Below are 26,982 nucleotides of genomic sequence, written 5' to 3' on the forward strand. Positions count from 1 at the left end.
GCTGACACTGTTGGGAAGGCCTGGTGGGAGGGGAGGTACCTGCAAGGGCATGTAGGGCTTGGGCATGGGGTGGACTTGATCGTGGGGGCTTAGACTGCAGTAGAGACATTCTGGTCACATTTGCCTGCCCATGAGCTCCTTCCGTCTCCTGATGTGCCTCAGCAATTTCATGTGCAAAGTACACAAGAGCCATTTGTTGGAAAGTACCTAAATCACTCTATTTACTGAGTGCTTTACTTGCACTTATAAATCTAAAACAAATTTTCAAGCAAATAAACAAGTGTGTGGATATGGAGCAGAAATACCACTCATGGCATCCTGAACTTGGCCCTCTGACTCAGTAATTAGTATCCTAAAACTGAGTTCAAGCATCACATTTTATTTTCAGGTTTTACATACTTCATAGAACTTGGTCTCTGATGTTACAGAGATCACAGTAACAGTTTACCTTATCTCCAGAATTTCTAACTTCTCAATGGTGGCATCTCTCATTAGAACAGGTAGTCACCAAATAGTTCCACACAAAGACTCTCCCAATGTGTCATTTATTAAAACAAACAAACAGATTTGATATACAATTAATATACCACAAAATCACCCATCTAAAATGTACAGTCTGGTAGTTTTTAACATATTCAGAATTCTGCAGCTTTCACCACGAATTAATCGTAGAGTATTTTCATCACCCCAGAGCCACCCCTCCCTACCTTTAGTCACTTCCCATTTCCCCGGCCCCTGATAATCACTCATCTGCTTTCTGTCTCTGTGGAGTACTATTCTGGAAATTTCATATAAATGGAATGATACAACATGTGGCCTTTTGTGACTGACTTCTTTTACTTAGCATACTGTTTTCGAGGTTCATCTATATTGCAGCATGTGTCAGCACCTCATTTCTTTTTGTGCTGAACACTATTCTACTATATAAATATACTTCATTTTCTTTATCCACTCATTAGCTTGTACACAACTGGATTTCCACTTTTTGGCTATGTGCAAAGTTTCTGTATGCATGCATGTTCTCATTTCTCTTGGGTACCCACTTAGGACTGGAATTCCTGGGACATGTGCTAACTGTATTTATCTAACTTTTTGAGAAATCTTCAAAATGGTTCCCAAAGCAGCTGCACTATTTTATATGCCTACCAGCAATGCATGAGGGTTCAATTTCTCCACATCCTCACCGACATTTGTTATTGTCTTTGATTATAGCCATCCCAGTGTGTGTGAAGTAGTATCTTGTTATAGTTTTGATTTGCATTTCCCTAATGATAAATGACATAAAGCATCTTTTCAGGCATATTGGCCATTTGCATATCTTCCTTGAGAAAATGTATGTTCAATTTTTTTCCATTTAAAAATTTGATGATTTTAAATTTTATTGTTGAGTTGTAAGGATTCGTTATATATTCTGGATAGTAGACCCTTATCAAATATATGATTTGTAAATATTTTCTCCCATTTTGTGAATCTTTTCACTTTCTTGATAGTGTCCTTGGATGCACAAAAGTTTTTAGTTGTGTTGAAAAACAGTTTGTATATCTTTTCCTTTGGTTACTTGTGCTTTATGTGCATATCTAAGAAACTGTTTCTAATCCTGGGTCAGGAGACTTACAACTCTGTTTTCCTCTAAGAGTTTTATAGTTTCAGCTCTTATATTTAGGTCTGATTCATTTAGAATTAATGACTTGTATATGGTGTGAGGTAGAGGTTCAAATCTATTCTTCTGCATGTGGCTATCCAGTTGTCCGAGCACTAAATGTTTAGTCCATTTTCATCCTTCCATTTTGTCTTGTCCAGGCTGTTGAAGTAGCCTCCTCACAGCTCTCCCTGCTCTTAGCTCTTCTCCACCAGAGTCCATCTCCCACCATACTACCAGTTATTCATCTTATACACAGATATGATTATGTCCTTTCCTTAATAAAAAAACTTTATTCTTTCCTTAGTTTCTATAAAATAGTTCAAATATTCAACATAAAATTCCAGGTCCTATCTAGCATGACCTCAACCCACCTCCTAATTTTACTGTGTTCCTTCTCCCCACTTGCTACCCCATCCCAGCCATCCTTGACTTCTTAGCTGGTCTCTTTCTGGCCTGAGTGAGACATTTGGCCTGGATATATATGCATGGTATGGCTTTGGTTGCTTACTGTGGCATTGGTGCTTATGGGATAGCCATTGACTTTAATTAATGGGGTGTTATCAGCACATTTATCCTATTGAAATGACTAGAGGAACCCATAAGAAACCACATTTTCAGGACTAGTAATCTATTTTAGCATCATTTGGAAGACAACAAACTTTCATTTTATGGGTAGACTAACATTCACAAATTATGACATATATCATATAATCATAATCATTAAGTTATATTTTAAATAATCAACCATCCACCATCCCAAACTCTAAGACTTTGTTGGTAAGTTTTGTATGTCACAGGTTCATATTTTTCACATTCTGACACCTACATTCAAGGCCTCAAACTTTACCAGAGACTTTTTATCATTGAGGTAAAACTAGAAGTCATTAATTTAAAAAATTATATTATTTTTAATTATGGTAAAAACATAAAATATACATTTTACCATCTTGATTTTTTAAAGCAGTTTACTAGTGTTAAGTATATTCAACAGATCTCCAGAGCTTTTCATCTTGTAAAACTGAAACTGTAACCCATTTACCAACAACTCCTTCCCCATTTCCTTCTCCTCCCAAGGCCTGGCAACCACCATTATTCTTTCTGTTTCTGTGAATTTTACTACTTTAGATACCTCATATAAATGGAGTCATATGGTATTTAGCACAAGGTCCTCAAGGTTCATCCATGTTGCAGCACATGACAGGGTTTTCTTCCTTTTCAGGGCTGAATAATACTCCATTTTGTCTCTATATCACATTTTTTTGTTTATCCATTGATCTGTTGGTAGACATTTGTGTTGCTTCCACTTCTTGGCTGTTGTAAATAATGCTGCTGTGAACACAGGTGTGCAAATCTCTTTGAGGACTCTGCTTTCAGTTCTTTGGGATATATACACAGAAGTGTATATAGGATTAGGATTGCAGGATCAGATGATAATTATTGTTTTAATTTTTCAACTTATCTTCTCGAATGAGAACACTAAATTAAATTTGTGGGGTTTGTGTCATTTTAGACATAGCTCACGAAGAAGATGGTAACTTTAAATTGTCCCTGCAACAATGATGATGGGCTTCAGTGATTGTCTTAAATGAGTCATCATTATTTTTGTGTTTTATAACCAACCCTATGCATCTGAACACAAAAGTCAAACCTTTTTAATACCTCAGGTGTATTTTACACCAAAATACAGGGAAAAGGCATCAATCAAAGCTGCTTAACAGCTGATATGATAGTGATTACATGTGATATGGTAGTTGAGACTGAAATGCTATTTGTAATACAAAGATTATCTTAACTGAGTCTGATTTGAGGTGAAAAAAGGTACTAATTAGGGTGACAATATGAATTTGATTTAACTTTAAAGTATTATGAGAGAAAACATACTATGTCACAACTCTTTTATATAACGAACTGGGATTTAGGTATGGAGTGGGTAGAATAGTGGTCAAGAGCAGGGATTCTGGAGTCAAGTGTTTGGCACCAATCCTGGCTCTGGCCATTGCCAGCTGCATGAGTGCCACTGGGCAAGCTTCTCACAGCACCAGATTTTTCATCTGTAAAATACGGTTAATAATGGATTGTGGTGGCATTACATGAATTAATATACGCAACATGCCGGAATGACATCTGGCAGGGAGGAAAAGCCATATAAGATTTTGTAATTGATTTTCTAGCACAAGCTATCCATTCTTAGGTTGTTGTATCTTCCTTGTGTCATCCCACATATCAATATTGTCATCTGCAAAAAATATACACGTATGTCTCTTTTAACTAATGATTTTAAAATGTGGACTAATCAATGATCTAAAATCCCCCTTCCTTTTAGTCAATTAGTAGTTCATAAATTGAAGATGTGATGGATAGAACATTTCGTACCCAGAAAGCTCTTAGATTGTGAATGCTGAGGGAACACTGGGAGATTCAGTGAGTGCAGCACAAATACAATCTAGGTGACTGGAATAGTTTCTAATGAATGAATCACTGAATAAGCAGATGGGTTGTGGAAGGCAAACCATGAGTAAATTTTTTCTTTTACTACAGAAATATTTCTGAAAGGTAAATACCCAGGTTTATGATGATAGACCTTCTTTAAACTCATGCTATTTTTCTTTCTGGGTTTTGTTGTCAACACAATCTCATCTGCTCTTTGCAACCATTACCTCTCAGAATGGGTATGAAGATCAGGTGCAACCATGTATGTGATAATGCTTCTAAAAACTATTTTTTTTCCAGTTTTATTGAAATATATTTTGCATAAAAATATAAAATCCACCCATTTAAAGTACAAAGCTCAGTGGTTTTCAGTACATTCACAGAGTTGTGCGATCATTGCCACAATTAATTCCTTTCTGTCTCCATGGAATCTAATTTTGAACATTTTATATAAATAGAACAATACAATATGCGGTCTTTTGCGTCTGGCTTATTTCATTTAGTATAGTGTTTTCAAGGGTCATTTATATTGCAGCATGTATCAGTACTTCATTCTTTTTATTGCCAAATAAGACTTCATTGTATGGATATGTACTACATTTTATTTTCTCATTCATGAGTTGATGAACATTTGGGTTTCCACTTTTGGCTATTACAAATAAAATTGCTATGAACGTTTGTGTGTGAGTTTTTGTGTGGACACACATCTTTAATTCTCTTGAGTATATGCCTAATAGAGAAATTTCTGAGTCATATGGTAACCCTATATTTAGCACTTCCAGGAACTGCCAAATGGCTGTACGATTTTACATTCCAACCAGCAATGTGTGAGGGCTCCAATTTCCCTACACTGTCATGTACACTTGCTATTATCTGTTTTGTCATAATGGGTATGAAGTGGTAAAACTACTGAAAAAAGTGACATATTCATGGAGTAAAAGTAAAATTGAAACATGCAGAAAGTATTCTTCAGGCCCAGACAGCCCCCCAGAATTACAGTTTTTTTTCTAGAGTCCTTGAAAGTTGTCTATGCACATATGACGTATCCCTAGATATGTATTTGCAAGAACACATGTAGGAGTATACTATTTTGTATCATTCTTTATCACTTAATAATATACCTAAGAGCAATTGCTATAGAACAGGTTGACCTGCCTCATTCTTTTTACTCTTAGCAGAGTATTTTTTGTGACGATGTACCTTCGTTCGTTTTAACAGCTTTTCTAATGAAGGGCATTTTGGTTGGTTTTGCTCTTATAAGTAATGCCATGCGCATCCACAAGACATACAATTGTTCTTGAGTACATTTGTGAAGATATTCACAGGAAAAAACAAGTTATACTGCTATATACCACCATCAACAGGGGATGAGAGTGCCTATTAGCCCACAATCTTTCCAGCTTAACACTGTGTGTTATCAGCCTTTCCCATCTTGGCCAATGTGGTAGGTAAAAAATAGTTCAGTAAAAGTTGATTTGACCTATAAGGGGCAAATCAAGTTTATGTTATAAAGCTTGAAGTTCAACATTGAAGTTGAACTCCAGATAATATGGTTAAAGCTTTCAAATTTCTGAGAAATATGCAGGCATAGAGATTGTATCTAAATTTGCCTTAATACATAGTATATCCATTTGCTAATTGAAGAAGGTGATTGGTTCATTTATTTATTCAACTGGCATTTATTCAGCATTTATCGTATGCTAGGTGAACTTTAAGTGCTAGAGAGAAGGATGAATAAGAAACATACATTGCTTACAAGTAATATATAGTCTAATAAGGGGGACATATATATATAAATCAATAAGCATAATGGACATGAAATAGAGGCAAGTATTATACAATAAGCTGTGTATATTAGGCCATAGGCTAAGCTACTGTGAAAAAAAAGGACCCTCAAATACTTGGGAAATTGCTTTTGGGAAAAGACAAAAAAAAAAAAAAAAGCTTGTGGAAAAGGGTGAAAAGTGGACATGAGAGTAAGGAGAGTAAGCCATTTTTAAAATAAAATTTTATTTTAACTTCGATTGTCATATGGTAAGTGTACATATTCATGGGATAAAAATGAAAGGTTTTGACACATGTGTGCATTGTGTAATGATGAAATCAGAGTAATTAGCAAATCCATCATCTCAAACATTTATCATTTCTTTGTGGTAAAGCATTCAAAATCCTCTCTTCTAGTTAGTTTGAAATATACGATGCATTATTGTTAGCCACAGTCACCCTGCTGTGCAATGGAACACCAGAACTGATTCCTCTCACCTAACTGCAACTTTGTACCAGTTGATCAACCTCTCCCCATAGCCATTTCCTCTTAAGCAAGAAACATGGAAATTGTACACATTACTTCTGAAAATACACTGGCAAGCCACTTCTAGTTGCAGGGTAGACTTGGAAAATGAAGTCTAACTGGGTGACCCTGTGCCTCCACATTATTCTGGAGGAAGGGGATCACGGAGCTAGGGTCCCCAGTCTGGGAGGCTGGTAGAGAGGCAGCTCGCTGTGCTACTCTGATATTTTTAGCTCCGTGGGGGAAAAAGAACTGCTAGACAGAGCTCTGTCAACACAGATCTGACAATCTCATTCAGAAACAAGTTACAGAGACCTCAAGTGATTAATAAACAAGATTATTCTATAGAACATCTTATGGTGACATAATCAATATGATTTCAACACTCAGCTAATAAATGCTATGAAATACAATTTATGTAAGGTGTTAATTGACATGTCAGGTTTTAAATACAAAAGGAATGAGGGAGGGAGACATGAATATAGATGGGTGTTATCAGAGAATGACACTTAGATACATTTCATATTGTGTCATGTAAACTAATACCTACTTTTTGGGATATTTCTTCATGGTTTAGTTTTTAATGTAGATTCAAGAGTTTTATATATTCAAACTCTTCATGAAAAAAATTCAGCTCTGGTTATGTACATCCACATTTACAGGAATTGAATTTTTCTTTTTGTACACTTGTGAGTATATTTTTTCCTATGGCAAACGTTTTCCAGAAAGCAAAAGTTATTTGTGTTACTGTCCCTGATAATCGATGCTGTGTAATAAATCGTTCTCAGCAATGGCAGTTTGGACACTGATGGACAGTTGGTGACTGGTAATTTGTACAGTATGTTTAGTGGGACGGCGGGCAAGGGGGAAAAGTGGCATTTGGTTCCTCAGTCCCAGATTTGGGTCAATGTTCTCATAATACTGGTGAGCAAGGAGCCTAATTCTTTAGGAATTTTAAAAGGTTTCTTTTAGTGAAGAACATTTCCCAGGTGTCTAATGAAAAATTATAAATGACCAGGTATAATTTTGCCAAGCTTTCCAACATAGTTTTCCTTTAGGGTGAGAAACAATCCTTTGATTTTCTTGAAGTAGAAGTCTCTTCTCGAATGCTAACAGTAAAACAAGACCTTTTCAGACAGATTTTGTATTTTGCCATCAAATGTGCAATTTTTGAAGATACGGGACTTGAGAATCAGGTAAACTTCGTTCTGAAAACCAGGCTTAATTTTATGACTGTGATTAGAAAGTTGAAAAAAAAATCACGTTCTCACAAATGAAAACAAAAGTCAGAGTTCAAACTGTTTATCCTGTTTCTGTAAGCTTTTGTTTCAGAAGGCCAAGGATTATTTGAGGAGAACCTGGAAAATTAACTCAAATGGAGGAAAAAAATGGCGTTTATGCAAAATGCAGCAAAAGCAGACAGCCTTGGAGAACTGAAGCTTAAATAGCGTAAGAGTCTGAGTACTAGTCTTCAGATACTTAAAACAGCATTTGATAGACAAGTTAGATATTTAAGGAAACATTTAATCAGCTTGGCATCAGCATTAGTGGCTTCAATTTTTGGCTGAGCCTGACTTTGCCATATGATCCTAGACAAATTTGCCTAAAATGGGTGATATTAACTTCTTTAGGGAAAGGCTCTGTACTGGGATTTTTTTGAGGCCTATGATTTATGGGGTCAAGCTATAAAACAGGAGGAAACACATGCTCATTTGTATAATTTTTACATATATTTGGTCCATAATTGTACAGCTAGGCAATTCATTTATTATCTGTTTGAGAGTAAAAGTTTGATTATTTTAATGTTACTACTTCTGGTTTTTTCTCTTCTCACATGTTCCCAGTGACTCCTTTCTGATAACCCAACTTATCATCATAGAACGCATGTAATGCTGAGAATAAGACACAGGGTCTTGGAAAATGAATGACAGCAATGGTGCTCCGATGGCAGTTTTGTCAGACTTTGAATGGTTTATGAAATCACTGTTGATAAAAGTGAACACCTTCTACTGAAGGGAGAAATTTAGGGGGGAAAAATCCCAAATAGAAGGAGTTAATATCCAAACCTGGAGACTTACCTGGTAAGGTTCACTTAACTGGTAAAATGTGATCCAATTTAAACAAAGTATTTTTAGTTTTCTCAGAACAAACATCCTACATAAACACAAAAAATGATATGAGACATAGATATAACTTGGTTCACAATATTTTCCAAAACTATAATGTACCAGCCAGTTGGTACAGCACACCAGGAGAGAAGATCATTATTAATGTGCTAATAGCAGCATTTTATTTTGAAACCCACTCTGCATGGTTACAGGGCTCAAAACAACATATTCTAACAGGAAGATACATTACCGAAATATTTTAATGAGAATATTTAATATGCATTGAGAGGTCCGCATTTTCTTGCAGAGACCTTGTAGGTAGCTCTTTGAGATTTCTGTCTCTATGCATTTAAGTGAAGGAGTTGGTTGGGTATTTTAGTTGGCAAATTTTGCAGACATGTAGCTTTGGTAGTGGAGAGGTAATAGTACCATGCCCTGCGTGCTGGCGAGGAAGCCCCACAGCAACAGTGGCTTTTAGCAGCTACCAGATTTGCTAAAAGCAGCCATGTCCAATTAGCAGTAAGTGCCATGCACCTGCAGTTACTAGGAATTGAACCTCTTTTGAGGCTGAATCTTAATGTAGCCTTTTAAAAAAATAGCAAAAATCTTACTCATACTCTGAGATAATAAAGAAAAATTAGCAATGGCAAAATGGACGCACTCTGAAATGTATTCTTAATAATGATTTAGAATATGGGGTAAATGTAGAGGCAATGACACATTTAAACTGCATTATTTTTAAATACTGTTTTATCAGTTTACTTCCTAATTTTGAATTCAATTTTCATATCTATACTGCAACTGCTTTTTTTTTTTTTTTTTAGAAATCTATAATATTGCTGCAGGCTCCCTATGTATGTTTCCATAATTTTCTGCAAAGTGTTTTCACCAGAATAAAAAAAAATTACAGTTCAAAATTGCAAAACTGTAGAAAAAATATGCTCTTTGACTTCTTTTCTATGTGTCAAATTCACCACAATGGAAAGGACTACACTATAGAATTAAAACGTTATTTTCAACAGATAGTACTTATTTTAACATGTGTTCAGCATTTAAAAATATTTAATATTCTTTTCTAAAAATGCTTACATTCAGAAACTATTTATGAGGGTTCTGAGCAGTATGATGTTTCTTTCTCTGATTTACTGCTTTTTCTCTTTTAGAGGATATTGTAGGAGAAAAACATTTGTTAAGCAATTTCCAGAACTACTAGGTTCTAATAAGACCAATAGGCTAATAATTCATTTCATTGCAACTGGAGTGTGTACTTTTCCTTTATTCTCAGTCATAATTTTTTAAAAGAGCCAAGAACACCAAATCATCAAATCTAATGTTGAACATGTAGTAACTTTTATTTGCTGATCATACTCTGAGATTCACCATAACGAATAAATCATAAGTATTAAAATTTCAGCTTTTTAACATACCCACTACACTGCTAGCCTGGTAACACAGTCACCAACTACACAGCTTCTTCAACTGTTGACGTGCTTTAAAGCTAGGATTATGGTATCCTGCCAAAAAGATCCTACAAACTGTCACTATTTTGGTTTGTCCTGCCAGCCATTGAGAAGTAGACAATTTCTATATACACAAACCAGTTTGGAAAATTTATGCAAATAGGAAGTTATTCTCAAAATGGGTTATTTGATTGCATTTTTTTTTTTTTTTTTTGAGACAAGGTCTGACTCTCGCCCAGGCTGGAGTGCAGTGGCGTGATCTTGGCTCACTGCAACCTCCACCTCCGTGGTTCAAGCGATTCTCCTGCCTCAATCTCCTGAGTAGCTGGGAATACAGGTGCATGCCACCACTCCTGGCTAATTTTTGTATTTTTAGTAGAGGCAAGGTTTCACCGTGTTGACTAGGGTGGTCTCAAACTCCTGGCCTCAAGTGATCCACCCACGTTGGCCTCCCAAAGTGCTGGGATTACAGGCATAAGCCACCGTGCCCAGCCTGATTGTGTTTTAATGTATTGGCTCCCAACCAGTAGCAACAGTTTGGGTGCACAGATATTGCCGTAGTGTTTCTATTCAATGTGTCAAATTATTTAGGTAAAAGTTTGGCTTAACTTTGTTGACATGGAATTTCTATATCCTCCAGTTTCTGGTTTAACTGGTTTATGTGGAAATGAATGGAAACACATGGTTAAGTTCCCCAGCCTCCAGCTTCTCTCTTCCTCTTACCTATATTTGTACTTGCCCACTTTTCCTCTTGTGGGCCTGTTCCTAGAATCCATTATGTTCTGTGGGTGACATCAGCCTGCTACTGCGGGAAGAAATAGAATTTTATGGTGCCCAAGATAAAATCGACTATGATGATGCAGAATGAAGACCTGGAGAGGAGTCAGAGATTGCAGGGGATAAAAAGAGAGAAATCAGAGATGCTCCCACAAACAGAGAAAACCTTCAGAAGCAGCAGGAAGGACAGAGTAAATGGAGAACAAAAACTCAAGTCAAAATAGTCAATGGAAATAAACAGTTTTGAATTCCAGTTATAATTTGGAAAAGAAGCAAACGTTTATTTTAAATTAAGAAAAAAGTCGCTTATAATTTCCTGAAGTTTAGAAAAGTGAAAAATAGTTAAACCTCCTGTTGTTAGCTAAGAAGTGTCTATTATTATAAGTTTGTTGCTGGAGAGAACATAAAAATCTCTATCTATTGCTATTTTTTTTTTTTTTGCATAAGGGATGGATAAAAGAGTGTTTATTTTATTTAGCCTTTGGCCTGTAAAGTAAGATTTATGAAACAAAGGACAATCGGAAATGATAAGAATTTTTTCCTAATTTCTAATTATTTAGCTAAACCTTGATTGATTTCTCTCAGGCTAGTGCCCATATTACAGCAGCAGTCAGCCTTCATTTATCTTACCTGGGACCACTGCTAAATCCGATGTCACTTTTCAGTTTTTATATTATGTGACCATTTAGCCACATTTCACCTACTTGATCATTCCCTCCATCTTGAGACCTCCCTCGACCCGGCTTCCAACATACTTTGCCCTCCTGGTTTTTCTTTCTCTGTTGGCTCACTTTCTCAGTCTCCTCTGCTGGTTGCTCCATTTTTCCACAATCTCTCAAAACTGGTGCTCCTCAGATTAAGTCCTTGGACTTCTCTCCTTAGATTGACATCTGGAGTCATGGCTTCAAACACCACCTATCACTCCCTTTCTCCTTGAACTCTAGACGTGTCCATCCAACTGCTACGTGACATCTCCACTGGGATTTCTAAGAACTTTGCCAAACTTAACATGTCTAAAACCAAATTCTGGGCTGGGGGTGGTGGCTCACGCCTGTAATCCCAGCACTTTAGGAGGCTGAGGTGGGCAGACTACTTGAGCCCAGGAGTTCGAGACCAGTCTGGCCAATAGAGAAAAGCTGTCTCTACAAAAAATACAACACTTAGCTGGACGTGATGGTGCATGCCTGTAGTCCCAGTTACTGGGGAGGCTGAGGCGGGAGGATTGCTTGAGCCTGAGAAGTTGATTCTGCAGTAAGCTATGATTACACCACTACATTCCAGCCTGGGTGACAGAGTGAGACCCTGCCTCAAAAAAAAAAAACAAAAACCAAAACCAAAACCAAAAAAAAAAAGCAAAGAGCAAAACACAAAAAACATATTCCAAATCTCCCCTTTAAACCTCCTCTTCTTACAATGAGTCCTATCTTGATTTATGGCAGATCCTTCCTTCCAGTTCTCAAGCCAAACACCATGGGGTCATTCTTGACTCCTCTCTTCCATGGGCTCATCTAAACATCAGAGTATCCTGTTGGCTATCTGGAATTTAACCACTTCCTATCACTGCCATTGCTACCCACCTGCTCTTAGTTATCACCAGAGTTCCCTGGAGTGTTGGAGCCGCCGCAGAGCTGGTTTCCCTGCTCCTGCCTTTCCTGCCCATGCTCTGTCCTGCCAGTCAGCTCTGTCCTTTAAAAATGGAAATCAGGTTACCTCATGACTCTTTTCTTTCTTTTTCTTTTCTTTTTTTTTTTACAGAATCTTGCTCTGTCATCCAGCCTGGAGAGCAGTGGCATGATCTCTACTCACTGCAACTTCCGCCTCCCAGATTCAAGTGATTCTCCTGTCTCAGCCTCTTAAGTAGCTGGGATTATAGGTGCCAGCCACCATGCCCAGCTACTTTTTGTATTTTTAGTAGCGAAGGGGTTTCGCCATGTTGGCCAGGCTGGTCTTGAACTCCTGACCTCAGGTGATCTGCCCGCTTCAGCCTCCCGAAGTGCTGGGATTACAGGTGTGAGCCACCGCGCCCAGCCATGACTCTTTTCAAAAACTCCCCATCTTCTCCACTTCCATTCAGTAACAGTCAGATCTGCATGGCCCCCTCCTGACCTTCTGATGTCATGTTCTTTGCTACCCCTTGAGTGCATTGAACATGCCTCTGACCCAGAACTTTTCTGTTTGCTATTTCCTCAAGTGCATATCTTGTTCCTTCATTTTCTTCAGGTGATTATTAAAATTTCACTTCCATGAGTCCTTCCCTGGCCCCCATATTTAACACTGCATCTTCCTCCATCTTCTTTCCCTCCTCCCCATGTACATTTTACTCCCTTACTAAATTTTTTTTCCTATCTCACTTTCTTTTCTTTTTGAGACAGAGTATTACTCTGTCACTTAGGCTGGAGCGCAGTGGCGCAATCTTGGCTCACTGCAACCTCCACCTCCTGGGTTCAAGCAATTCTCCTGCCTCGGCCTCCCGAGTAGCTGGGATTAGAGGCGCGTGCCACCATGCCTGGCTAATTTTTGTATTTTTAGTAGAGACAGGGTTTCATCACGTTGGTCGGGCTGGTCTCCAACTCCTGACCTTGGCTTCCCAAAGTGCTGGTATTACTTTCTAACCTCCTGTGTATGCTACCTATTTATTTGTCTGTCTCTCTACACTAGAATATAAGCTCTATGAGGGTAGACTTCTTTGTTTTGTCCAATGCTCTATTTCCAATATTTATAACCGTACTGGCCGGTAGGTACTGTCAATTATAGTTTTTGAATAAATTGAGAGTAACAAATTCTAACTGGTGAAAATAAATTAAATGGGCCGGGCGTGATGGCTCACGCCTGTAATCCCAGCACTTTGGGAGGCCGAGGCGGGCAGATCACTTGAGGTCAGGAGTTCAAGACCAGCCTGGGCAACATGGTGAAACCCCGTCTCTATTAAAAATACAAAAATTAGCTGGGTGTGGTGGTGCATGCCTGTAATCCCAGCTACTCGGGAGGCTGAGGCACAAGAATCGCTTGAACCCTGGAGGCGAAGGTTGCAGTGAGCCGGCATTGAGCCACTGCACTCCAGCCTGGGCGACAGAGCGAGACTCTGTCTCAAAATAAATAAATAAAATAAAAATTAAAAAGAAAATAAATGATCTCACAGGATATCATTTCTTGATTGGAGGAGGAGAGAAAAATGTGTATGTGTGAGGGTACAGAGAGAGTTCCTTTGCATTAGTGAGGGTTCACATCAGAACTGTCTAACCTCCCTACTCAGTGGGTCCTGTTACCTCTCTCCTGAATCCAATAATACTCTGGTGCACACCTTTTACTGGTACTGAGGCTATTTTAACGTTCCATTAAAAAAAAAAAGAAAACATTTAAAATACAAAAACAAGGCTGTACTACTTTAACTCTGACCTTAGAAGACTCTCAGTTTTATAACTGTTTAGAGAAAATGTGGAAATGTTTGCTGGCCCCAATCTTTTTATTACTCATCTCTATAAAGAGGCTTTTAAGGACATATTAAAAAGTTTCCATCTCTCTTGTCTCTTGCCTTTCTTCTCATCTTCCTTTCTTGTACCCCAAATGGCTGAAAGCAAGACCCTGAGAGTCTGGAAGAAATATATTCTGGTCAGAGCAGACTGAGCTGGAGCTGGCCTAGAACCTTGGATCCTGACCTCAGAATTGCTGCTCAAATTACTGCTCTCTGAAAGAGTGAGCTCATGCATGTTTATTATTACTGTGAACAAATTTAGCTGTTGTTTCACCCAAACATTGAAGTTCTCGCTTGGACCCCTTTGCTTGTTTGTGCTTTTGCAAATGTGTTTTCTCATGTGCTACTAGAACCAAGATGAAAGCTTCAGTTCTCAGAACAGGTGCCACGACCGAGGAGACAAAACAAGAGCTATAGAGGGGTGTGGTGTGTGAAACTGAGAAAGCAGGTAGTTTTTCAGAAAAACTGAGAGCCAGGAATGACTTCATCCATTTCCTGTAATAAGGCAATGGTCTGACCTTGAGGAACCTATTAGAGTGTGCTTCTAAACAGAGGCCATTTCGAGGCTGAATGTACGGGAGTATTTACCTTTGACTGTTTTCTGAAGCAAGGTATTTTATAAACTGTAAAGTGGCTTATACAATTTTAGGAATGGAAAGTTTTGCAAAGTCTCCAAAATCCCTGGGAGTTTTGAATGTGCAGGCCATATGAATTCTTTGTAGTTTCATGGTCTTGCTGTTCAGCATTCTTTAGAGTCACCTGCATGGTAGAAGTTTAGTAGGAATTTGGGTAGTTATGGGCTGGTTTCTTTGTTTTCCCAAATAGAGGTAGCAAAATGGATGCTAAGAAGCAAATTACTTTTACTATTTTAGATGCCTCTGGGGACATCCTGTCATAATGCAACTTAAAATATACTCGTCTCCTCAGTTCCTTTTTATGTATTTATTTAATAGTCTTCAACCAATTTGTTCTTCATTAGCTGTTCTACAATACTTCAAGAGAAGTCATGATAATGATGCATTTAGGATCAGAAAAATATAGCATGTGTGAGTTCCTGGGGACTTTAGAGAATATCTAGCCCAGTCTTTCATTTTATAGAAGAGGAAGGCCAGGGATGGTGGCTCATGCCTGTAATCCCAGCACTTTGGGAGGCCAAAGTGGGCGGATCACCTGAGGTCAGGAGTTCGAGACCAGCCTGGCCAACATGGTGAAACCGCATCTCTACTAAAACTACAAAAATTAGGCAGGCCTGGTGGTGGGTGCCTGTAATCCCAGCTACTCAGGAGGCTGAGGCAGGAGAATTGCTTGAACCAGGCAGAGGTTGCAGTGAGCCAATATCATGCCACTGCACTCCAGCCTGGGCAACAGAGTGAGACTCTGTCTCAAATTAAAAAAAAAAAAAAAAGAAGAAGGAGAGGAAGCTGGGGGTGAGGACAGGCAGTGACTCACCCAGGGTCTCACACTGATTTGCTGGCAGAGTTAAGCATGAAAAGGTGCCTCTCCTAGTCTCTTTCCAGTGTTCTTGTCATCACAATGAGTTAAAATAAAAATTACTAGCAACTTGGGAGTAATAACAATAAACTTCTCAAAATCTACTACATGGTCTAGAAAACCAAACATAAGGCCGGACGCAGTGGCTCACGCCTGTAATCCCAGCACTTTGGGAGGCCAAGGCAGGCGGATCAGGAGGTCAAGAGATCAAGACAATCCTGGCCAACATGGTGACACTCTGTCTCTACTAAAACCACAGAAATTAGCTGGGTGTGGTGGTGCGTGCCTGTAGTCCCAGCTACTCAAGAGGCTGAGGCAGGAGAATTGCTTGAACACGGGAGGCAGAGGTTGCAGTGAGCCGAGATCATGCCACTGCACTCCAGCATGGCGACTGGACTCTGTCTCAAAAAAAAAAAAAAAAAAAAAGAAAACCAAACATAAAACCAGAATATTCCTGTGAGTTCCATTACATAGGACAATATGGTCCTGCTGATCTATTAAAATTATGTTTATAAATTAGAGGCTCTTCATTGGGAGATATACTTAATGCTAGATGACGAGTTAGTGGGTGCAGCGCACCAGCATGGCACATGTATACATATGTAACTAACCTGCACATTGTGCACATGTACCCTAAAACTTAAAGTATAATAATAATAATAATAAAAAAAGAATAACAGGAAAAATAATTAGAGGCTCTTTACTGTATTTAAGGTGTTCAAATAATTGAAGCTAGTTTAGTATCTCCTTAGCCTTCCCCAGCATGCCCTGCAGCTTTGACGCTGCAGAACACCAGTTGGTGGCTGATATTTAGATGATGGAAATCTTGGACACATTTTCATTTTTGATAAAATGACATGGCACTATGGTTACATTTTACAAATATTTTTGCGGATGTATATCAGGTGGCATACCCAAGAAGGAACAGACCTTCCTCAGGGGTCCTTCTTAGGAAAGTACAGCTTTGCTTCTCTGATCATCAGAATTGGATCCTTCAGGTATTAGGTTGGTGCAAAAGTAACTGCGGTTTTTGCCATTCAAAGTAATGGCACCTGAAAGGGTTGGTAAAATTCAGAATATTATAAAATCAGTAAAAGCTTAATCAAATTTGCCTAAATCTATCCTACAGATTAGTCTATGCATGGTTTATTAAACAACCTAACTGAAACACACATGCATATGTGTGAGTAAGCTGACATCAGGGATCACCTTATCATGGAAAATCTAGGGAAGGTTGGCTCAATCTTCAATTTGTGAAGACCAATTCCCCTACCACGTCCATATATACATATTCCCAGGAGACTTGTTTCTTCAGGGCTCTCTTTGGTTCTCAGCTCTTCCTTTCTGAATTAGTGGGTCACTTTAACCTCCCTTGGGTCACAGTCGTGTTCCACACTGGGTGGGTCCAGAGGTAGAACTCATTGCCTTTCTTTGAATCCCACACAAGACCACCCAACAAGGCATTGTAGTTGGTGGAAAACTCCATTGAAGAAAGGGTCTATATTGCAACAAACAAGCATCTAGAAATAGAATATTAAATATCCCTCCTCTTAAAAATCCATTGTCCAATTCAGACTTCAGCATAATGTAATCTTCTGTCTTCTTTTCTCTGTGTTTCCATCTTGAGAGCCATCCTATTATCTGTGTCCTTTCTTTGTTGTCTTAGGAAGAATATTTTGGCTTATCCTTTGTTTTGTTCTCTCCTTCCCGGACCTATTATGGTAAATGTGGAATTTGCAGATAGGCTTATTTGCGCTCCCCAGCCTGCTCCCTTAATGCTCTCTGGTAAGACACTTCTTTGAGTCCTCCGAGGCGAGTTGCTGCCCCCCAGCACCTGCTCTTCCCCATCGCAACCCATGACAGTAAACGCACTGCACATACTTATCCCACAGACTGCTGTGAGAACTAGATGGAGGCTATGTGTGAAGCTGCAAGCTCTTGGTAAAGTGCTACAGAAATTGGTAGACACTGTTACTATGATAAGATGTTCAGAAAATAATGGATCGATTAAAGTTTCACTTATCTATTAAAAGATAAAAAACTCTATGATTGAGACCTTTTTGGAATATTGGAAAATATTTTTGTGTGCTTATTAGCATACTGATATGTTTCAGTACACATTTCATGGATTTATGGCTAAGGATGTTACTTTCAAGAAGGTAACTATACATCGCTCTCTACTAGCATGCTGTTCTGTTCCTGAGAAATAGTGGCTGGGCGAAGGGTATGCAAACATTTCTTAATATCTCATCCAATACCATTTTCCCACTACTAATTATTCAACACATGGAAATGTAGGTCAAAGCATTAAAAAAAAAAACTAGAACAGCAATACCTTGGTGGTTGGCAGGTGTTTATTTAAAATATTTACGTTTTAGCCTTATTTTTTAATACTTCTTTTTCATATATATTAGATATTTAACTAAAGAAAATAATAATCATTCTCATGGAATACTTTAAAATAGTAGAAACAATCATGAATAGAAATGAAGATTTAGGCCTATACTACCCTAGGCTCTGTCATTCTTATTCCTAACCATTTGCATAGGAAATTTAGATTCACCCACTTCTCTTTCTTAGAATAAGATTCACAGGTTTTTGGGCATATTCCCATTGCATGCCTGACTGGGGAGGTGTTCAAATCCCTGCTTTTCTACTCCTCAGCCCTGTGACCCTGAGCAATTTCTGTGGCTTGGTTTCCTCATCTGTAAAATAGGATATTAATAGAACATATCCCTTTAACGTTGCAGTGATCACATTAATTAGTTGATGCAAAACAGTCCATCTAGAACAGTAAGCCCTCAATAAATGCTAGCTATCATTATCATTTCATAGCCAGCCCCACCATGGATGGGTCATGTGACCTGAAGCAAATTTAAATTCTCTGGATTTCAGTTATCTCTCATTGAAGGAATTAGGCTCCATCAGTGGTTCTCAAACTCAAGTGAGTATCAGAATCACAGGGAGGGTGTGTTATGACACTGAAGGCCGGGCCCCACCCTCAGAATTTCTTATTCAGTAGATCCAGGAGGGAGTGCAATAATTTGTATTTCTAAAAAGCTCCCAAGTGAAGTTGATGGCTGATCTGGAGACACACCTTGAAATTCTTCTGCTTACTCTAAACAAAACGTGCTTTTTTATCTTGAGTGCACATCAGAACCCTCTGGGGAGGTTAAAAGTCCCAGTGAAATCACAACCTCTGCAGATGGTAACCAGATCTTAGTGGCTTTTAAAGTTCTCCAGGTGCTTCCATTGAGCAGCTAAGGTTGACAACACTTCTAACACCGCTTTCAGGTGAAAAAGAACTATCATTCTAACTTAAATGAAGGAGAAAATGAATTCATCATTCTGACACCGTTATCTATTCTTTCATGCATGGGCTTATCCTATGAGAAATAAACATTTACTAAGGTGTATGCATGTTTTTAGAACATCCATTGGGAAGCATGTTGTACAGCTTGTAGTAAAACAGCATGGTGCATGCTGAAACTGTTATAGGCTTTGCAAGTTATTTTTTATAAATTAGTTTTGCTGGTGTGCTGTTTGATTATTGGAGAGTGGTGTGAACATGTTTCTATGCATCCCAGGGGGTTGCTGTCACCTTTAAGGGGCCTCTTTAAATCCCAGCTCTTTCATTTACAAATTCTATGACCTTGGATGAGTTTCTTCACTTTTCTGTGCCACAAGTTCTCAGTAAAATGGAGATAATTATAGAACTTACTTCATAGAGCTTTGAGAATCATACAGGTAAAGTTATTTTACGTAATTAGCACTCAAAAGTGACCATTAATAATCTAACGTTTTAAAATATATTAATAGGCCAGATGCAGTGGCTCACACCTGTAATTTCAGCACTTTGGGAGGCTGAAGTGGGTGGATCACTTGAGGTCAGGGGTTCAAAGCCAGCCTGGCCAACATGGCGAAACTCCGTCCCTACTAAAACTGTAAAAATTAGCTGGGCATAGTGGCGTGTGTCTGTAGTCCCAGCTATTCAGGAGGCTGAGGCAGGAAAATCGCAGTGAGCCGAGATCACGCCACTGCACTCTAGCCTGGGTGACAGAGTGGGACTCCATCTCAAAAACAAACAAACAAACAAAAATTAATAGTTTAAATATTTTTAATATATTTCAATATATAAAGATGTAATTTTTATTTTAAATATATTAAAATAGATAAGTTTAAAATACATAAAGTAAATATATAAAATTAATATGTTAAAATGTTTACTGAAAGTTTACATTTTTCTCTGTATTGCTAAGAGCAATTTATTGCCTTATATGTTGTGTAATATCTAGAAAACACACCTATGTAATTTCCAAATTATAACCACCTTGGCTCCTGGACAAGTAGGACTGTGTCTGATTTTTTTTTTTGCATCCTTGTCACTACCTGCCACTCTGAGATCACTTGTTGTCTTTCCATATATAATCACCTCTAGGTACACTTCTTTCATTATTTCTACGCATCCTCTCCACTTTGCTGCATTCTTGTGTGCATTCTTTTCTCCCACGTTGGAAAGAAATATGCATATTGAGCGATTCCAACCCCCAAAGGCAAAAATTACTAGCCAGTGTTGAAAATGAAAGCAAGGAATTTTTTGGTTATTGTTGCTGTAACTTTTTGATGTGCGTACATATGTGCGTCTTTTTTTTCCCCCTAGGGGTGGAATGGGGTGGTGTTAGTCAGGGATTACTGACAGGACGGTGTTGCCTACTGTGTTGGAGAGACTAAGACTGGGGAAAGATTCTCCAAGGCTGGGAAATGCAGACGTCCAGTCTTGGAAAACAGTTTGTCGTTGGTCGTTATGTCAGAAGAGGAGTGTATTCCTGGAAGAAGGCCCACAAAATATACCCAGAGCCCAGGTGCCTTTCTAAGACGAATCAACATTCACTCACAAGTTCAGCTAATATATGACAGAAATACAAGAATGAACAAGACTCCTGACTTAAGCTTACAGCTGATGGGAAACTTGGGAACTGGACAGAGAATTAAAATACAACGTGGTTAGGTACAACTTACCTGCGCCAGAGGAGTGACGGAAGGCCTTGGACGGGGAGTGATGCCTGGAGGATGACAGGGCGACAGGTAAGTTAGGGGGCTGGGAAGGGGAAGGGCGGCCCTGTGGGTAAAGGGAAGGAGGTTAAAGTCAGCAGGGAAACAGGCAGTTCCCTGTTGCTGGAGCAAAGCGCGGGGGTGTGGCTCTCCTGTCTCTGGCTTTGCTGTCAACAGGCGAGATTGGCAAGTAGGGCGACCAACCGGCCTGGTTTGCTCGGGACCGGGGTTTCCTGGAAGGTGGGACTTTCAATGCTAAAACTGGGACAGTCCTGGGCAAACAAATCAGTACGGTTGGCCACCCTATCTTTGTGTGGGCATCTGCTAACTGAGTCATGGGCCTGTCTGGTTTATTTATTTATTTTTTTTCTGCCTGAGTAACAGAAGAATGTGTTAAACATATGGAGTATGGAAGAAGAAGGAGAGGGGAGATAGGATTTTTATGTTATAGATTGGAAGAAGACATCCTTGATGAAGGAGATGTTTTTACTTTGGAGAAGGACTGCCTCAGCCGCGAAAGACCAAGGGGTGGCACCACAGGGAGAAGTCTGCACTGCGCTTGTCAGGACGGCCAGTGGGGGGCTGCTGAGCGCAGGGAGTCAGTCCTCGCAATGAAGATATAGTCTCGGGGAGATAATGCTGGAAATCGATGGAAGAAGTGGAACAGGACACAAATTTAGTGGAATTTCTTTACAATGTGTGCTTCTTGTCACCAGTTCGTTAACCATGATAAAAACGGTTATGTTGTTACATTCATCAAGATCCAAATTTTCTACCATTTTAAGATGTCTATCAGTCACAATGATGATCACTGAAGACCGAACGAGATCATTTCCTCTAAAAATTATGTTACATTTATCCATAATGGCATCAGTGTCTGTTACACGTTTGCTTTAATTTTGAGGTCAAATACGACATTTGTAAATCTAGCACTTCATGTGATTCTGTAAGCACTAAACAGCTAAACATATTTACTTCTTTTTTTTGAATCAATTAGAACAGTGCTGTACAATAGAAAAATAGAACAGTGCTGTACAATGGAAACAGTGCTGTACAACAGAAATCTGTCAGCCACACGTGTCGTTTAAACTTTTCTAGTAATCACATTAAAATTGTAAAAAGAAGCCAATAAAAGTAATTTTAATAATATATTTTGTTTGACATAATATAGCTAAATATCAATTTTGACATGTTCTAAATATAACAATTATTAATGAAAAATATTACATTCTTTTGGCTTTGTACTAAACATTTGAAATGTGGTGTACGTTTTTCACTTATAGCACACGCAATTCAGATGCTACATTTTTATTAGGAATATTTAATCTGTAGATAGATATCGTAAAATTTACATTTGAAAAAAATAGATTCAGACACCTAAGTTGTTACAAGCATACTTAAAAGTTTTCAATGACTGAATTGAGTATCAGTTTTAAAATTTAAATCAATGAAATTAATTAAAATGAAATGAAAATTTAGAAACTATTCCTCAGTCACGCTGGCTACATTTCAAGTGCTTCATAGCCACATGAAAGCTGTATTGGACAGCAAAGAAGTAGAATATATTTGGAATAAAAATTTTAAAGTGGACACATTGTGTTACTCTCGTTAGCCATGCTATTGCTATTTTTTTTCCTATAGCTAATTAAAACCTTAAGATCCAGTAGGTTCTCCACCTTTTTTTAAAGCATTAGTTCCATGTCGACCCTGTAGATGGCAGCACTTTCTTCCTAAAACTACATGGAGGAGTTGCCTGGGCTTGTCACTCAGATTCTGGCACTTTTCATAGAAAGAGTCTGAATTATCTGGAAAATTCTTTGGTAACATAGGTCAGAATCTTTTCAGCTCTATTGTTATTCTGCACAGATGGCTGTTGCTTATGAAAACAATCTCTCAGCCTCTAGTCCAGGATATTACTCATTCCTCAGTTCAAGAAACTCTAGGGTGAGAGGAGAAAGGGGTTCAATTACAGAACTGTTATCAAAATGCGTTGGTTTATGCACATCCGTGTTTTGGACATGGTGATTCCAAGAGACTCTTAATAAAACTTTTCAAAGTAGATGAGAGACAGTTTTTCCCTCACATGCTGTGGCAATATTAATCTATGTTTTCATGTTCCACTGGACTTTGTAATTGAATTTTAAGGAATGCATACAGGGCTTCATATTTATATATAAAATATCCATATCCAGTGTTGAAAGAAATTAACAATAAAATATGTACCTGTATAAAATTTGTGATTTTTGAAGCACCCCTCTCTTCCTCTTCGCATTGCATTTGTGGTAGGAGAACATGAGACAAGGAACGAGGTACTAAGGACAAAGAAGGAGCGATTCAGAGGTGGATTTCCTGAAGACCAACAACATTTTTGCATAGCTCGTGAGGACTCTCTGATACTAAACTCCAATAAATGATGGTTTGGTGTTTTGATTGCTTTTGATTGACATTTAAAAATTACAGGAGACTGAGATAGGAGGATTGCTTGAGCCTGGGAAGCGGAGGTTGCAGTGAGCCAAGATTGCACCACTGCACTCCAACCTGGGTGATCGAGTGAGACCCCATTTCAAAACAAACAAAAAAATAAAAAATAAAAAAAAACAAATAAAAATCACACGCCTCTTTTTTTCACTCAATCTGTTTTCCAAATAAAATATCAAGATTCTATTTGAATTTTAATAATGATTTTGCTGAGTTTTATAGCTTGAATACTATGGCAAGTATAATGTCTAAAATGCTGTGATTTTGACTTAAGAAAAAATTTACAGTTTTCTTAATATACTCTTTAGTTCTTTTAAACTCTAATACATGAAATGGATTGCTAATGAGGGTAGGAAGGGGGAAAGACTGGGGAGAAAAATAGCTAACTTTTCTAGCGATAGATACATGTCAGAAGCTGTAGTAGGTTCTTTTGCATGTGTTTACTTACATTACCTTCTGTAATCTGCATTGCAATTTTTTCATAGACAAGGAAACCTAGACTTAGAGAAGTACAATACCTGTCATCTCGTAAATGACAGATATAGTTGAGCAAATCTACTGAAATGGTTTAGCTTCTTATCTTTCCAGACAACAGATAAGGACTTATTCTATATGAAGACATCTGAGAAATGAAAATATGGTTTCAGGTTCATAGAATCTTTTACACCACGTATTTCTGGTTCTCTTTCTTCTATTCAGATCATTCTTTCATCTGTTTCTTTTGTCTTCTTTTCCAAAATGTAGCAATTGCCCCAAATTCAGTACTTGTCTCTCTTCTTAACAATCACATCCAATCCCATGGCCTCAACCATCTTCCCTTGCATATAATTTCCACATTTACAACTTTATTCTCTTGATTACTCAGGATAAGATAATTGCTGAACAAATAACAGCATATATCTCAGCTTAAGAGAGTAAAAGTTTATTTTTCTCTCATGCAAATTCTATTGCAGATATTCCCCACCTCCTTCCCTAGGTTGTCCTCAAAATGCAGTGACTCAGGGAACTCCTCTTTCTGTCTTAACCTATTTTAGGTCTTAGACCCCTTTGGCAGTCTGGTGAAGCCAATAAATCTCCTCTCAGGACAGTTTCTAAATGTGATAAAAGAAAAAAAAGATATAGTGACAGATCTAATAATTAAAATTCAAAGTTAATTTCAAATTAGTGATAGGTAAATATATTTCAAGATGTCTGCACTGAATACAGCGTGATAGGTAATATATATGATTTATCTTGGTGACAAAGACATTGGTATTGCTAACACTATTATAGCTGCCATCTGTATTCACAAAGGGAGATGTCAAATTCCAGTTAAAAGAAAGATTTTCTTAACCCAAGTTCATAGGACTTCCTGAATGGTACAGATGCTAAGGTCTAGTGGCTCCACAACTACCAAAGCCTTCTTAGTGTTCTCTGCTGGATCTTATGCATCCAATTGACTGACAAGCAAAGAACCTGCAGAATAATAGGAGACATTTGTTGGGTGGGGAGAGCAAACCTAGAAGGGGCATATACCCCTTACAATTATAGCTCTATGCGCTAGAATTAGTTATATCATTCCTCCTAGATATGAGGGGACTAGGCACTGTACTTCAGCTGTGTGTCCAGGAAAAAGGTAAGGTATGGGGAATGTGGAGCAATAATTATTTGAAGCAAGAATCACCAGTGGATGCTAAAATTCGTGAGGGAAAACAGGACCAGAAACAGGATATTTTTAAAGTCTCCAAGTACCTCCACATAGGATACTTATTAATTGCAAAGGGAAAATAGTAACTTTACAGAGAAGAAGAAATCTGGCAGACACTACCATATCCAAGTGATCAAAGGTGACATCAGTAGTGGGACACATTAACATCATGTGCTTCTGATATGATACACAAAGGAGAAACAACCTCATTCTTGTGATGTTCCTGCCAAAAATCCATAACCTGAAAGAAGCATCACAAAATCCCCAATTGAGGGGCATTCCACAAAATAGCTGGCTAGAACTCTTCAAAATTGTCAAGGTCATGAACAGTTCCAGACCAAAGGAGGCTAAAAGAGACAGGATGCCTCAATGCAAGTATAATCCTGAATTGGGTCTTGGGTCAGAAAATGGGCATTAGTAAGACAATTGGCAAAATTTGAATAAGGTCAATAGATTTGAAAATAATACTGTACCTATGTGAATTTCCTGACTTTGATCAAAGCACTGGGGTTAAGTTAAAACATAAGATGTTGTTTTTGGAAATACATGCTGCTATATGCAACTTACTCTCAAACATCTCAGAAAAAAAAATAGATAAGTTCATAGATAGATAGATGACAGGATAATAAAGCAAGTGTGATAAAATGTTAGCATTTGGGGAATGTAGGTAAAAGTATATGGGAATATTTTGTACCATTTTCTCAACCTTTCCTTTAACTCGTAAATTACTTAAAAGAAAAGCAATAACCCTGGCTCTTATAAAACTAAGGAAAATGGTCCATCCTTTCCTGTGCCTTGTGTTTTCCTGCTGGTCAAAGAACCTTTGGTAATGACAATCTGAGTTGGTCACTGATATTCTAGTAAATTCAGAATATAACTTCCTGGGCTATGTAGAAAAATATAGCTCTTCATATTTTAATTCATTTTCCTGACAGCACGTTTCTGTGCTTTTATGTATGGATACTGCCTAGTAATGTGCACACCAGTCCTGCAGATCCTGGAACATTTTATTATCTTGATATTGACTTACGTATTTAGGTAGATCTGAATAGCAGAATTGTCAGTCGTTTCACCAAGACATTATCGGGAAATCTGGACTTGGAAGTCTACTTCTGCCAGGCATCTCTCCACGCTGGCTTCTGGGCCACAGAAGAAAAGATCTAATCAAACTCATTTATTAACAAAGGCTTATAATATTGAATAGCAGCTTCCAGGAATCTAAGAAAATGTTCACTTTTATTTCTGACTAAGGAGGAACTATTATAGTCTTTTTATACCAGTTAGAAGTGATGACTTGGTATTAAACTTATTCTAATTCTCAATAGCCCTGATCTCGACTCTGACCACATGCGCGCACACCCTCCCCCAACCCTGTAAGTGTGATTATGGCAAGGGGAAAGTTAAAGTGGAGTGAATGGTGAGTCGTGGAATGACAGAGAGCATTTAGCATTTGTAATTGACAGAGTTGGTGATTGACTGAATGGACACTGAATATCTAGGCTAAAAGTAATTGAATGTGGATGGTGTAGTGAGATGGAGAACACTAGCAGGAAGATAGACTGGGCTACGCAGGGGCTAGATCATGTGTTCAGTCTGGGATATACTAAGTTTGAGGTTTCTGTAAAATGTCCATGTGAAGATGTCCAATTGGGAGTTGGATATTTATTTATGTTTCCATTCCCATCAATCGATAAGCTTCAGAGGAAATAAGAGTGTAAGATTTTTTTGAACAACAGGAAAGGAAGATTGTAGTAAGATATGATGGCATAATGGTATATGGAAGAGTTTTAAATAAAAGTTAGCCAGGCATGGTGGCACGCGTCTGCAGTCCCGGCTACTCGGGAAACTGAGGCAGGAGAATCGCTTGAATCCGGGAGGTGAAGGTTGCAGTGAGCCAAGATCGCACCACTGCATTCCGGCCTGGGCGACAGAGTGAGACTCCATCTCAAAAAAAAAAAAAAAGGGATGAAGAGGGATGAGGAGAACTCAAGTTATATTAGCCTGAATGGAATAGATGAGTGGAGAGATGGGCATGATAGGTGAGTTAAGAAGGAAATTCTTTGCCTCAGCAACCAACTCAGATGCTTTGTGAATC

General features: G+C 38.3%; 1 protein-coding gene and 1 long non-coding RNA gene across 14 annotated transcripts in view; one reads left to right on the forward strand and one right to left on the reverse strand.

Annotated features, from left to right (window-relative positions):
- ESR1 (estrogen receptor 1) overlaps nucleotides 1-26,982 on the forward strand; it is a 472,948-nt gene that overhangs the window by 86,522 nt on the left and 359,444 nt on the right. The window contains exon 3 of one of the 12 annotated variants that reach the window (XM_011535543.3): nucleotides 14,287-14,400. The exons of the other annotated variants lie outside the window; for them this stretch is intronic. The gene's annotated coding sequence lies outside the window, so the exon portion shown is untranslated. The remainder of the gene's footprint in view (nucleotides 1-14,286; nucleotides 14,401-26,982) is intronic. 12 annotated transcript variants of the gene reach the window in all.
- Nucleotides 530-22,949, reverse strand: LOC107986529 (uncharacterized). 2 transcript variants are annotated; one of them, XR_007059818.1, is made up of 2 exons: nucleotides 20,690-22,949; nucleotides 530-10,735 (listed from the first exon to the last, which is right to left on the reverse strand). It is a non-coding gene; the product is annotated as an uncharacterized LOC107986529 (long non-coding RNA). The 2 variants fall into 2 exon arrangements; XR_001743866.2 differs by having other exon boundaries at nucleotides 530-10,802.

The sequence above is a fragment of the Homo sapiens genome, chromosome 6, assembly GCF_000001405.40.
Source record: "Homo sapiens chromosome 6, GRCh38.p14 Primary Assembly".
Taxonomy (NCBI): domain Eukaryota; kingdom Metazoa; phylum Chordata; class Mammalia; order Primates; family Hominidae; genus Homo; species Homo sapiens.